The sequence below is a fragment of the Homo sapiens genome, chromosome 4, assembly GCF_000001405.40.
Source record: "Homo sapiens chromosome 4, GRCh38.p14 Primary Assembly".
NCBI lineage: Eukaryota > Metazoa > Chordata > Mammalia > Primates > Hominidae > Homo > Homo sapiens.
This window is the reverse complement of record NC_000004.12, coordinates 85,197,633-85,210,774: the sequence shown is the minus strand read 5'-3', so window position 1 is coordinate 85,210,774 and position 13,142 is coordinate 85,197,633.

The window sequence follows — 13,142 nt, the reverse complement described above, 5'->3', positions numbered from 1 at the left end:
TAGAAAGAGCAGAGAGGAGGAGCTAATGGGTGGTCAGCTGCTTGATTGATCACAGGTTCATATTATTATTAACAGGTTTCAGATTTGCCTAATCACAAGAAACACTTGTCTGGGGTGAGACTGCCCTCAGCATTCCTTCTGGGTGGCAGATGCAGTTTGTCGATCTGCCAACATTCTGCATTTATGACAAACAGTTTGCTGCTTACTCATATAGCCTCCAGTGATATACTGAGTTGATCACAACCCTCAATCTTTCTACCTCCAACATCAAACGTGTCATTATGGCTATTATACAAACAACCAAACAAAAGACATCCATGAGGATGTGGAGAAATTGCCACTCCTGCATATTGTTGGTGGGAATACAAAATGGTGCAGCCATCGTGGAAAACAGTGTGGAAGTTCCTCAAAATATTAACAATGGGATTTCCACAAGATTGAATGATCCCATAACTGGATATTCATCCAAAATGATTAAAATCAGTATTCCAATAACATATTAGCATTCCCATGTTTGTTGGAGCAGTATTCACAATACCTAAGATATAGAAACAACCTAAATTTCCATCAACATATGAATGGATAAAGAAAATGTGTTACAAACAAACAATGGAATACTATTCAGCCTTAAGAAAAAGAAGGAAATTTTGCAATATGCAACAAATGAATGAACTTTAGGACATTAGGCTAGGGAAATAACCCAGGCACAGAAAGAAAAATGCTGCATGATTCTACTTACATTAGATATTTAAAATAGTCAAATCAGAGTGAAATGGTACCTGCCAGAGGCTAAAATAGTAAGAAATGGGTAACTAATCAACAGGCATAAAGTTCAGCTAAGTAGGATGAATAAGCTCTAGACACCTGCTGTAGAACACTGTACCAACAGTCAACAAAAATGCATTGTACATTTAAAAATGTGTTAAGAGCACAGATCTCATGTTAAGTGTTCTTAGAACAATGAATTAAAAAGAATTACTAATAGCACTAAAGAGAAACCTCATAGATACAAATAATTACAAATGAGAAAAATAATGTTTAAAGCTATGAAATATCTTGTCTAAGATATACTAAGAAATATAATTTATCTAAAGAGACTGAACATTTGCAATCTTTTTACAGAACTGGAATAACTTTTAATTAATTCTAATGCCTCATCCAGAGAGTTCACATTGTCTAAGTTTCACATCCATACTTTTAAAAGCAGTCATGAAAGATGTCATAATCTGTGAGTTTTTAGAACAAAAGGGTGCGTGTGTAAATGATCTAAATATGGGAATCACTTCTAATCTGGCATCTATTTTCAAAATTTCAGTAAAAAGAGGCCTTTGTGCCAACTGTACTGGTTAAAATTAAATAACATAAAATAAGAAAGTCTCTTTTAAATGTTGAGAAATCTGGCAAATATTTCTAGTGAGTCATAACAATTGGGTGTGAATATTGCCAATGATTCACAAATGGTAAAGGCTTTAGGGTGTAATGCCAGATGGATAAATAAGTGGAAAGTAGTAAAACTGGCAAAACCATAAATGATAATAGCTTTGATAATTATGTCCAGAAATAGAATCTTGCCCTGGGATTACAGATTGTTACATAGCACTCATAACATTTTGGAGGCATTGTCTACTGAGATGTGTATTATAGGAGAAATCACAATCACATAATCTAAAACTTGAGAGTAGGCATTAAAGCACAGGGAATAATTAAATATTAAAAAGAAAATTATCATGAAAGGAAAATGGGAAAACTGTATAAGAATATCTCTGAAGAAAACATTTTCTGTCATGAAAGTAACAGGTTTACTTTCTTTAGAAAAAAAAAAAGGAATCATAGCTACTGCTGTTTTAGCAGCACCACATAAACCCAAGAAAACTGGGTTTGTTTTAATGAACTACTTTCATATACTGGGAAATTGTGTAAAAAAGTCTACCTGTGGAAAAACTGTAGACTAAGGGCCCAAATTTCAGTGCATCACCTTTTAGTGGTTCTAAGTAAGATAAAATAGCTTAGTAAAAGAAAGCAAGCAATGTAAGAGGCTTTTCAAAGGCAATGTCCAACACCATGTATGGTGTTCAGACAAGATAAAGAAAGCAACTCAATTCCATTTTTTTCAGTGTATCAGAGTAAGTAAGAAAATGGGTTATTGTAAACAATTTTTTGAAAGAAATTTATATACTGTGGTATAATGACAGACAAATAAGCAGAAAGTAAGAAAACCGAGAAATAAAATAAAATTATAGAAAAATAAATCTTATTATTTCTTTATACAATATCACAAACTGCTAAATTTAAGGGAAATTTTCTACCAAATAAAATGTCCAGTATAAAAATATATATATGGTATGATTTTTTTTCTATTTTTATTTTAGGTGCAGGAGTACATGTGCATGTTTGTTATAGGCTAATTGTGTGTCACCGGTGTTTGGTGGACAGATTATCTTGTCACCCAAGATATAAACAGTATATCTTATAGGTAGTTTTTAAATCCTCACACTCCACTAATGCTTCACCCCCAAGTAGGCCCTGGTGTCTGCTGTTCCCTTCTTTGTGTCCATATGTACTCAATGTTTAGCTACTAATTACAAATGAGAACATGTGTTTTTCTGGGTTTTTTTTTTTCTGTGTATTTGTTTTTCTGTTCCTGTGTTAGTTTGCTTAGGATAATGGCCTCCAGCTCCATCCATGTTGCTGCAAAGAACATGATCTCATTCTTTTTTATGGCTGTATAGTATTCCATGGTGTATATGTACCACAATTTCTTTATCCAGTCTACCACTGATGGGCATTTAGGTTGATTTCATGTCTTTGCTGTTATGAATAGTGCTGTGATGAACATACATAAGTGTCTTTATTTCTTTTTTATTTTTTTATTTCCATAGGTTATTGGGGATAAGGTGGTGTTTGGTTACATGAGTAAGTTCTTTGGTGGTGATTTCTGACATTTTGGTGCACCCATCACCTGACCAATATATACTGCACCCAGTTTGTAGTCTTTCATCCCTCACACCCTTCCCACCCTTTCCCCCTGAGTCCCCAAAGTCCACTGTGTCATTCTTTTGTCTTTGCATCTTCATACCTTAGCTCCCACTTATAAATGAGAACATACAATGTTTGGTTTTTCATTCCTGAGTTACTTCACTTAGAACAATAGTCTCCCATTATCATCAAGGTCACTGCAAATGCCATTATTTCATTCCTTTTAGGCTGAGTAGTATTCAATTATGTGTATATATGTGTGTGTTTGTGTGTGTGTGTGTATATATTATATATACATATACATCCTTTATCCACTCATTGATAGACGGGCAATTGGGTTGGTTCCATGTTTTTGCAATTGTGAATTGCGCTGCTATAAACATGCATGTGCAAGTATGTTTTTTGTATAATGACTTATTTTCCTCTGGGTAGATACCCAGTAGTGGGATTGCTGGACCAAATGGTAGTTCTACTTTTAGTTCTTTAAGAAATCTCCACACTGTTTTCCATAGTGGTTGTACTAGTTTACATTCCCAACAGCAGTGTAGAAGTGATCCCTGTTCACCACATCCATGCCAACAGCAGCAGATTTCTCAGCAGAAACCCTACAAGCTAGAAGGAATTGGGGCCCTATCTTCAACTTCCTTAAACAAAATAATTATCAGCCAAGAATTTTTTATTCAGCAAAATGAAGAAAAGATACAGTCTTTTTCAGACAAATGCTGACAGAATTCACCACTGCCAAGCCAGAACTAAAAGAACTGCTAAAAGGAGCTCTAAATCTTGAAACAAATCCTAGAAACACATCAAAACAGAACACTTTTAAAGTATAAATCTCACAGAACTAATAACACAAAAATACAATTTTTAAAAAAAGACAAGGTATACAGGCAACAAATAGGGCAATGAATGGAATGGTACCACGCATCTCAATACTAACATTTAATGTAAATGACCTAAATGCTCCACTTTAAAGATACAGAATTACAGAATGGATAAGAATTCATCAACCAAGTATCTATTGTCTTCAAGAGACTCACCTAACACATGAGGACTCACATAAACTTAATGTAAGTGAATGGAAAAAGATATTCGATGCAAATGGACACCAAATGAGCAGGAGTAGCTATTCTTATCTCAGACAAAACAAACTTTAAAGCAACAGCAGTTAAAAAAGACAAAGAGGGACACTATATTATGATAAAGGGCCTTGTCCAACAGGAAAATATCACAGTACTAAACATATATGCACCTAACGCTGGAGGTCCAAAATTTATAAAACAATTACTAATAGACCTAAGAAATGAGATAGACAGCAACACAATAATAGTGGGGGACTTCAATATGCCACTGACAGCACTAGACAGGTCATCCAGATAGAAAATCAACAAAGAAACAATGGATTTAAACTATACCCAGGAACAAATGGGCTTAACAGATATTTACAGGACATTCTACCCAACAACCGCAGATCAGTGCATGGAACTTTCTTTAAGATAGACCATATGATAGGCCACAAAATGAGACTCAATAAATTTAAGAAAATTGAAATTACATCAAGCACTCTCTCAGACCACAGTGGAATAAAACTGGAAATTAACTCCAAAAGGAACCTTCAAAACCATGCAAATACATGGAAATTAAATAACTCACTCCTGAATGATCGCTGGGGCAAAAATGAAATCCAGATGGAAATTAAAAAGTTTTTCAAACTGAGTAACAGTAGTGACACAACTTATCAAAACTTCTGGGATACAGCAAAGGTGGTGCTAAGAGGCAAGTTCATAGACCTAAACACTTACATCAAAAAGTCTGAGGCCAGGCGCGGTGGTTCATGCCTGTTACCCAGCATTTTGGGAGGCCAAGGCTGGCACATCACCTGAGGTCAGGAGTTTGAGAACAGCCTGACCAACATGGTGAAACCCAGTCTCTACTAAAAATACAAAATTAGCTGAGCATGGTGGCGCATGCCTGTAATCCCAACTACTTGAGAGGCTGAGGCAGGAGAATCGCTTGAACCCTGGAGGCAGAGGTGGCAGTGAGCTGAGATCATGCCATTGCACTCCAGCCTGGGCAACAAGAGTGAAACTCCATCTAAAAAAAAAAAAAAAGCCTGAAAGAGCACAAACAGACAATCTAAGGTCACACCTCAAGGAGCTAGAGAAACAAGAAGAAAGCAACCCCAAACCCAGCAGAAGAAAGGAAATAACCAAGATAAGAACAGAAATAAACGAAATTGAAACAAAAAAATGCAAAATATAAATGAAAAAAAACTGGTTATTTGAAAAGATAAGTAAAATTGATAGACCACTAGCAAGATTAACCAAGAAGAGAGAAAATTCAAATAAGCTCAACAAGAAACGAAATGGGAGATATTACCAATTGACACCATAGAAATACAAAAGATCTTTCAAGGCTACTATGAACAACTTTATACACATAAACTAGAAAATCTAGAAGAGATGGATAAATTCCTCGAAAGATACAACCCTCTTAGCTTAAATCAGGAATTGTTAGATATGCTTAACAAACCAAGAACAAGTAGCAAGATTGAAATGGTAATTAAAAAATCAACAAAAAGAAGTCCAGGACTAGACAGATTCACAGCAGAATTCTACAAGGCATGTGTCTTTATTATAGAACAATCTAGATTCCTCTGAGTATGTACCCAGTAATGAAATTGCTGGGTTGAATGGTATTTCTGTTTTTAACTCTTTGAGGAATCACATACTGCCTTCCACAATGGTTGAACTAATTTTCACTCCCATTAACAGGGTATAAGTGTTCCCTTCTCACCACAACCTAGCCAACATCTATTATCTTTTGACTTTTAATAATAGCCTTTCTGTGTTCAGGGATTTATCCATTTCTTCCAGTGTTTCTAGTTTATTTGCATAGAAGTGTTTATAGTATTCTCTGATGGTAGTTTGTATTTCTGTGGGTCAGTGATGAGATCCCCTTTATCATTTTTTATTGTGTCTATTTGATTCTTCTCTCTTTTCTTCTTTATTAGTCTAGCTAGTGGTTTATGTGTTTTATTAATATATTTTTAAAAACAGCTCCTAGATTCATTGATTTTTTGAAGGGTCTTCGTGTTTCTATCTCCATCAGTTCCATTCTGATCTTGGTTATTTCTTGTCTTCTGCTAGCTTTGGGGTTTGTTTGCCCTTGGTCCTCTAGTTCTTTTAGTTTTGATCTTAGGATCTCAATTTGAGATCTTTCTAGCTTTTTGATATGGGCATTTAGTGCTATAAATTTCCCTCTTAACACTGCTTTAGCTGTGTTCTGGAGATTCTGGTATGTTTTCTCTTTGCTTTTACTGGTTTCAAGGAACTTCTTGATTTCTGGTTTAATTTCAGTACTTACAAAGGAGTCATTCAGGGGCAAGTTGTTCAATTTTCATGTAGTTGTGTGGTTTTGAGTGAGTTTCTTTCTTAGTCTTGAGTTCTAATTTGATTGTGCTGTGGTCTGAGAGACTGTGTTATGATATTCAGTTCTTCTGCATTTGCTGAGAAGTGTTTTACTTCCAATTATGTGATCAATTTTAGAGTAAGTGCCATGCAGTGCTGAAAATAATGTATATGCTATTGTTTGGGGGTGGAGAGTTCTGTAGATACCTATCAGGTCCACTTGATCCAGAGCCAGTTATGAATATCTTTGTTAATTTTCCGTCTCGATGATCTGTGTTATGTTGACAGTGGGGTGTTAAAGTCTCCCACTATTATTGAGTAGAAGTCTACGTTTCTTTGTAGATTTCTAAGAACTTGTTTTATAAATCTGGATGCTCCTGTATTGTGTGCACATATATTTAGGATAGTTAGCCCTTTTTGTTGAATTGAACCCTTTACCATTATGTAATACCCTTCTTTGTCTTTTTTTATCTTTGTTGGTTTAAAGTCTGTTTTGTCAGAAACTAGGATTGAAATCACTGCTTTTTTCTGCTTTCCAATTGCTGGATAAATTTTCCTCCATCTCTTTATTTTGAGCCTATGTGTGTCTTTGCATGTGAGATGGATCTCTTGAATACAGTACATCAATGGGCCTTTTCTTTTTATCTAGCTTGTCACTGTGTGTCTTTTAATTGGGGAATTTAGCCCATCTACATTTAAGGTTAATATTGTTGTGTGAATTTGATCCTGTCATCATGATGCTAGCTGGTTATTTTGCAGACTTGTTGATAGGTCTGTTTACTTCAGTGTGTATTTTTAGTGGCTTTTAACAGTTTTTCCTTTCCATATTTAGTGCTTCCTTCAGGAGCCTTTGCAAGGCAGGCCTGCTGGTAACAAATTCCCTCAGAATTTGCTTGTCTGAAAAGGATTTTATTTCTCCTTCACTTAGGTAGTTTAGTGTGGCTAGATATGAGATCCTGGGTTGGAAAATCTTTTTTTTTTTTTTTTTTGAGACAGAGTCTCGCTGTGTTGCCCAGGCTAGAGTGCAGTGGTGCAATCTCGGCTCACTGCCAGCTCCCTCCCAGGTTCATGCCATTCTCCTGCCTCAGCCTCCTGAGTAGCTGGGACTACAGGTGCCCACCACCATGCCCGGCTAATTTTTTGTATTTTTAGTAGAGATGGGGTTTCACCGTGTTAGCCAGGATGATCTCGATCTCCTGACCTCGTGATCCACCTGCCTCAGCCTCCCAAAGTGCTGGGATTACAGGTGTGAGGGAAATTTTTTTAAGAATGTTGAGGATTGGTCCCCAGTCTCTCTTCCTTATCCTCAAAATAATATTAAAATGGATATTTGAAAAGAAACAGTTAAGAGTAGGTTGCAGCTGAGAGGAGATGCAGGCAGAGGCATAATCCTGTACAGTCTTCAATTGTGTTTTAATATGTGAATAGGTAGGAAGAAACCTGTGAAGCCTGCAAGAGAGTAGCTAGTGAGGTGCTTTGAGCTCAGTTAACATTCTACATGCGAGGAAGTGGGAAATATAAAAACCAAAAAGAAACATTAAAAATTAAACAGAGACTCAGCAATCTGTGGGAAAACATACAGGCAATTTTAGTTTCAGAAAAAGGAAATGGAATAAAACAAAATAGTAATAATACAATGGTAAACGTTTTCCAAATCTGCTAAAAATATAAGTAGAAAGATAAAAAATCTCAAGTAACTCAAGCAAGATAAATACAGAGGAAACCATACCTAGCCACACCAGAGTCAGTTTCTGAAAACTATGGAAAAGACAAAACTGTTAAAAGCAACCAAAGGAAAAAAATAGACTTTAAATACATAAGAGCAACAATAAGAATTATTGATGACTTCTTATCAGAAGAAATGCAAGTCAGAAAACAATTAAATGACAGCTTCGACATGCTGAAAGAAAATAAGTCAACTTGGAAGTTTGTATTCCACAAAAGCATCCTTCACAAATGAAGATAAAATAGACATTGTCAGAAAAAAATCTAAAATAATTAATCACCAGCAGAACTTCACTTGAAAATATATTGAAGTTCTTTAGGTTGAAAAAAAATGACACCAGATGAAAACAAGTACACAAGGGAATGAAGATCACTGTAAATGAAAATTGAGGAAAGATGTAAATTACTTATTTCAGACTTCATGTTTTCTCTAAAAGACAAGTAATTACAGTTTAAGTCAAAATAATAATACATCAAGTGGTTTATAGAAGTAAAATGCATGGGAACAATCACAAAAGATGAAAGGGGTAAATGGAAATTTATCATTGAAGTTTAGTACATTTCACATGAAGAAGTATAAGATTGTAACAAGTTAAAAATTAATATTGTAATCCCTAAAGCAACCAATTAATAAACAATAAAGAAGTAAAGCTTTTTAAAAGAACATAAAATGGAATAATAAACCTACTTTATTAGTCAAAAAAGGCATTAAAAAAGGAAAAATGAGCAAAGAACAGATGGAACAAATGGAAAAGGAATATTAAGGTAATGGACTTAAACCCAACTGTAACAATAATTACATCAAATAAAAATGGCAAAGCAATTAACTTAAATATCAGACTGAATTAAAAACAAAAATCCAACTACATGCTGTTTATAAGAAATGATTTTTACATATAAAAATACAGAAATTAAAAAGTAACAGCCAGGTACGATGACTCATGCCTATAATCCCAGCACTTTGGGAGGCTGAGGCAGGTGGATCATGAGGTCAGGAGATCAAGACCATCCTGGCTAACACGGTGAAGCCCCATCTCTACTAAAAATGCAAAAAAAATTACCCGGGTTGGTGGCACACACCTGTAGTCCCAGCTACTTGGGCGGCTGAGGCAGAAGAGCTGCTTGAATCTGGAAGGTGGAGGTTGCAGTGAGCAGAGATCGCACCACTGCACTCCAGCCTGAGTGATAGAGAAAGGCTCTGTCTAAAATTTAAAAATAAATTAATTAATTTTAAAAAGTAACATAATGATATCAAGTGGATACAGTGGCTCATGCTTGTAATCCCAGAGCTTTGGAAGGCCAAAGCAGGAAGAACACTTGAGGCCAGGAGTTTGAGACCAGCCTGGGCAATATAGCGAGACCCCCTCTCTACAATTTTTTTCTTAAATTAGGTAGGTGTGGTGCACATCTGTAGTCTGAGCTACTTGGGAGGCTGAGGTGGGAGGATCACTTGTGTGCGGGAGTTCTGGCTTAGCATGAGCTATGATCACACTACTATACTCCCACATAAGAATTTGAGTGATAAAATGAAACTCTGTCTCAAAAAAATTTGAAAAACATGCACATAATAATCATAAGTAAGCTACATTAATGTCAGCTAAAGTAGATTTTAATAAAAGAAATATTACCAGTTATAAGGACATTTATAATGACAACAGCATCAATTAAGAAAACATAGTGATCCTAAGAAATATTACCAGTTATAAGAACATTTATGAGACAACAGCATCAATTAAGAAAACATAGTGATCCTAAGTAGCGACACTCTAAAAACAGTTTTAAAATACACAAAAATAGAGGTTCAGCTTAAACACACACACACACACACAATTGATAGACTTAAGGGGAGAAATAAATAAATCCAAGTTTATAATTTTTAACACTACTCTCCCAGTAATTGATTTCCAAGGTTTAAAATTATACAAATAGAATTGAACAGGAAGGAGGCCCAGCAAGATGGCAGAATAGAAGGCTGAACTGATCACCCACCTACAAGGACACTAATTAAACAACTATCTACACAGAAGAAGTAACTTCATAAAAAACAAAAATTAGGTGAGCCCTCATAGTACCTGGATTTAACTACATACCACTGAAAGATGCAGTGAAGAAATAGAAAAAACAGTCTTGAATCACCAATACCACCCCTCTGCCACCCCTGGCAGCTGCCACATGGTGCAGAGGATCTCTGGGTGCTGGGGGAGGGAGAGAACAGCAAACGTGAGGCATTGAACTCACTGCTGTCCTATTAGAAGAGAAAGGAAAACTAGACCAAACTTAGCAGATACCTGCCAATGGAAAGAGCATTTAAACCAGCCCTAGTCAAAGGTGACTCACTGATCCCAGCAGTACAAACTTGACTTCCTACAAACCACACCACCACAGGCTACAGTGCTCTGGTGCTCTAAGTAGACATGAAAAGCAGTCTAGGCCATAAGGACTGCAATTTTTAGATAAGTCCTAATGCTGAACTGGGCCCAGGAACAGTGGACTAGGAAGGCAGAGGAGGTACTCAACCTACTGAGACACCAGCTGGGGAAGCCAAGGGAGTGCTGGAATCACCCCTCCCCTAACCCCAAGCTGCACAGCTTGCAGATCCAAAAGAGGCTCCTTCCTTCCACTTCTTCCTGGAGGGAACAATGGGGAAGACTCAAGATGTATCTTACATCTTGGATACCAGCTTTTCAACAGCAGGATGGGGCACTGGTCAGAATCACTAGGCCCCCATTCCAGGCCCTAGATCCCAGGTTACATTTCTAGACACACCCTCAGCCATAAGGGACACACTGTCTTGAGGGAGGGGCCCAATCCTGACAGTATTCACCACCTGCTAAGTAAAGAGCCCTTGGGCCCTGAACAACCAGCAGTGGTACCCAGGTACTATGCTGAGGGCCTTGGGTGAGCCTCTGAGACTTGCTGGTGAGATTCAGCACATTACCAGCTATAGCAGCTATGGGACAAAACTCCTTCTGCTTGAGAAAAGCAGAGAAAAAATAAAGGGGACTTTTTCTTGCACCTTAGGAACCAGTACAGCCACAGAGAGGTAGAGCACCAAGCAGGCTCTTGGGATCCCTGATTCAAGGACTTGACTCTTGGACAGCATCTCTGGACCTGCCCGGGGCCAGAGGGGAGCCCACTGTCCTGAATGGTGAGCTCCAGGCCAGGCAACATGTACCACAAGCTGACTTAAGAGCCCGTGGGCATTAAGTGAGCATTGGCAGTAGTCCGGCAGAACTCCCCATTGCCTGTGGTGGTGGTGGATACAGGGTGAGGCTTCTCTGCCTTTGGAAAGGGGAGGGAAGAGTAGAAAGAACTGTTTTGTGGTTTCATTGCCAGCTCAGCCACAGTACAATAGAATACAAGGTGGAATTCCAAAGTTCTGACCCTAGTCTTGACTCCTGGACAGAACCTCTAGAACCAACTGGGCCTGGGGCAACTCGCTACCTTGAAGAGAAGGATATAGGCCTAACTGGCTTTGCCAACTGCTGATTATAGAGCCCCCTAGGCCTTCGGCAAACATAGGCAGTAGCCAGGGAGTTGTTACAGCAGGAATTGGGTGAGATTCAGTGCTGTGCTGGCTTCAGGTCTGACCCAGTGCAGTTACAGTGGTGGTAGCCACAGGGGTGATTGCATCACTTCACCCTCAGATTTAGATGGCTCAGAACAGAGAGAGACTCCATTTGTTTGGTAGAAACTAAGGGAAGAGAACAAGAGTCTCTGCCTGGCAATCCAGAGAATTCTCCTGGATCTTGTCAAAGACCATCAAAACAGTACCTTTATGAGTCTGCAAGAATCACAGCATGGCTGGGCTTTGGGTGCCCCTTACAGCAGATACAGCTTAGATCACAACACCCAAGTCCTTTCAAACATCTGGAAAGCCTTTCCAAGAAAGATGGGCACAAACAAGTCCATATAGTGAAGACTACAATAACTACATAAGTCTTCCATTCCCAGACACCAAAGAACATCTATAGCATCAACACCATCTAGGAAAACATGGCATCACCAAATGAACTAAATAAGCCACCAGGATTCTCTAATTCTGGAGAAACAGAGATATGTGACCTTTCAGACAGCTAATTCAAAATAGCTGTGTTGAAGAAACTCAAATTCAAGGTAACAAAGAGAAGGAGCTCAGAATTCTGTCAGATAAATTGAATAAAGAGATTGAAACAATTAAAAAGAATCAAGCAAAAATTCTGGATCTAAAAATGCAATTGGCGGCCGGGTGCGGTGGCTCACGCCTGTAATCCCAGCACTTCGGGAGGCCGAGGCGGGTGGATCACGAGGTCAGGAGATCGAGACCATCCTGGCTAACACGGTGAAACCCCGTCTCTACTAAAAATACAAAAAATTAGCCGGGCGTGGTAGCGGGCGCCTGTAGTCCCAGCTACTCGGGAGGCTGAGACAGGAGAATGGCGTGAACCCGGGAGGCGGAGCTTGCAGTGAGCCGAGATCGCGCCACTGCACTCCAGCCTGGGCGACAGAGCGAGACTCCGTCTCAAAAAAAAAAAAAAAAATGCAATTGGCATACTGAAGAATGCATCAGAGTCTCTTAATAGCAGAATTGATCAAGCAGAAGAAAGAATTTGTGAGCTTGAAGATAGGCTACTTGAAAATACATAGCAGAGACAAAAGAAAAAATAATAAAAAACAATAAAGCACACCTACAGGGCCTAGAAAATAGCTTCAAAAGGGCAAAGCTAAGAGTTTTTGGCCTTAAAGAGGAGGTAGAGAAAGAGACAGAATTAGAAAGTTTATTGAAACAGATAATATCAGAGAACTTCCTAAACCTAGCAAAAGATATCAATATCCAAATACAAGAAAGTTATAGAACACCAAGCAGATTTAACCCAAAGAAGACTATCTCAAGGCATTTAATAATCAAACGCCCAAAATTCAAGGATAAGGAATGGATCCTAAGGGCAGAAAGAGAAAAGAAAAAAAATAACATACAATGGAGCTTCAATATGTTTGGCAGCAGACTTTTCAGTGGAAACCTTACAGACCAGGAGAGAGTGGCATGATATA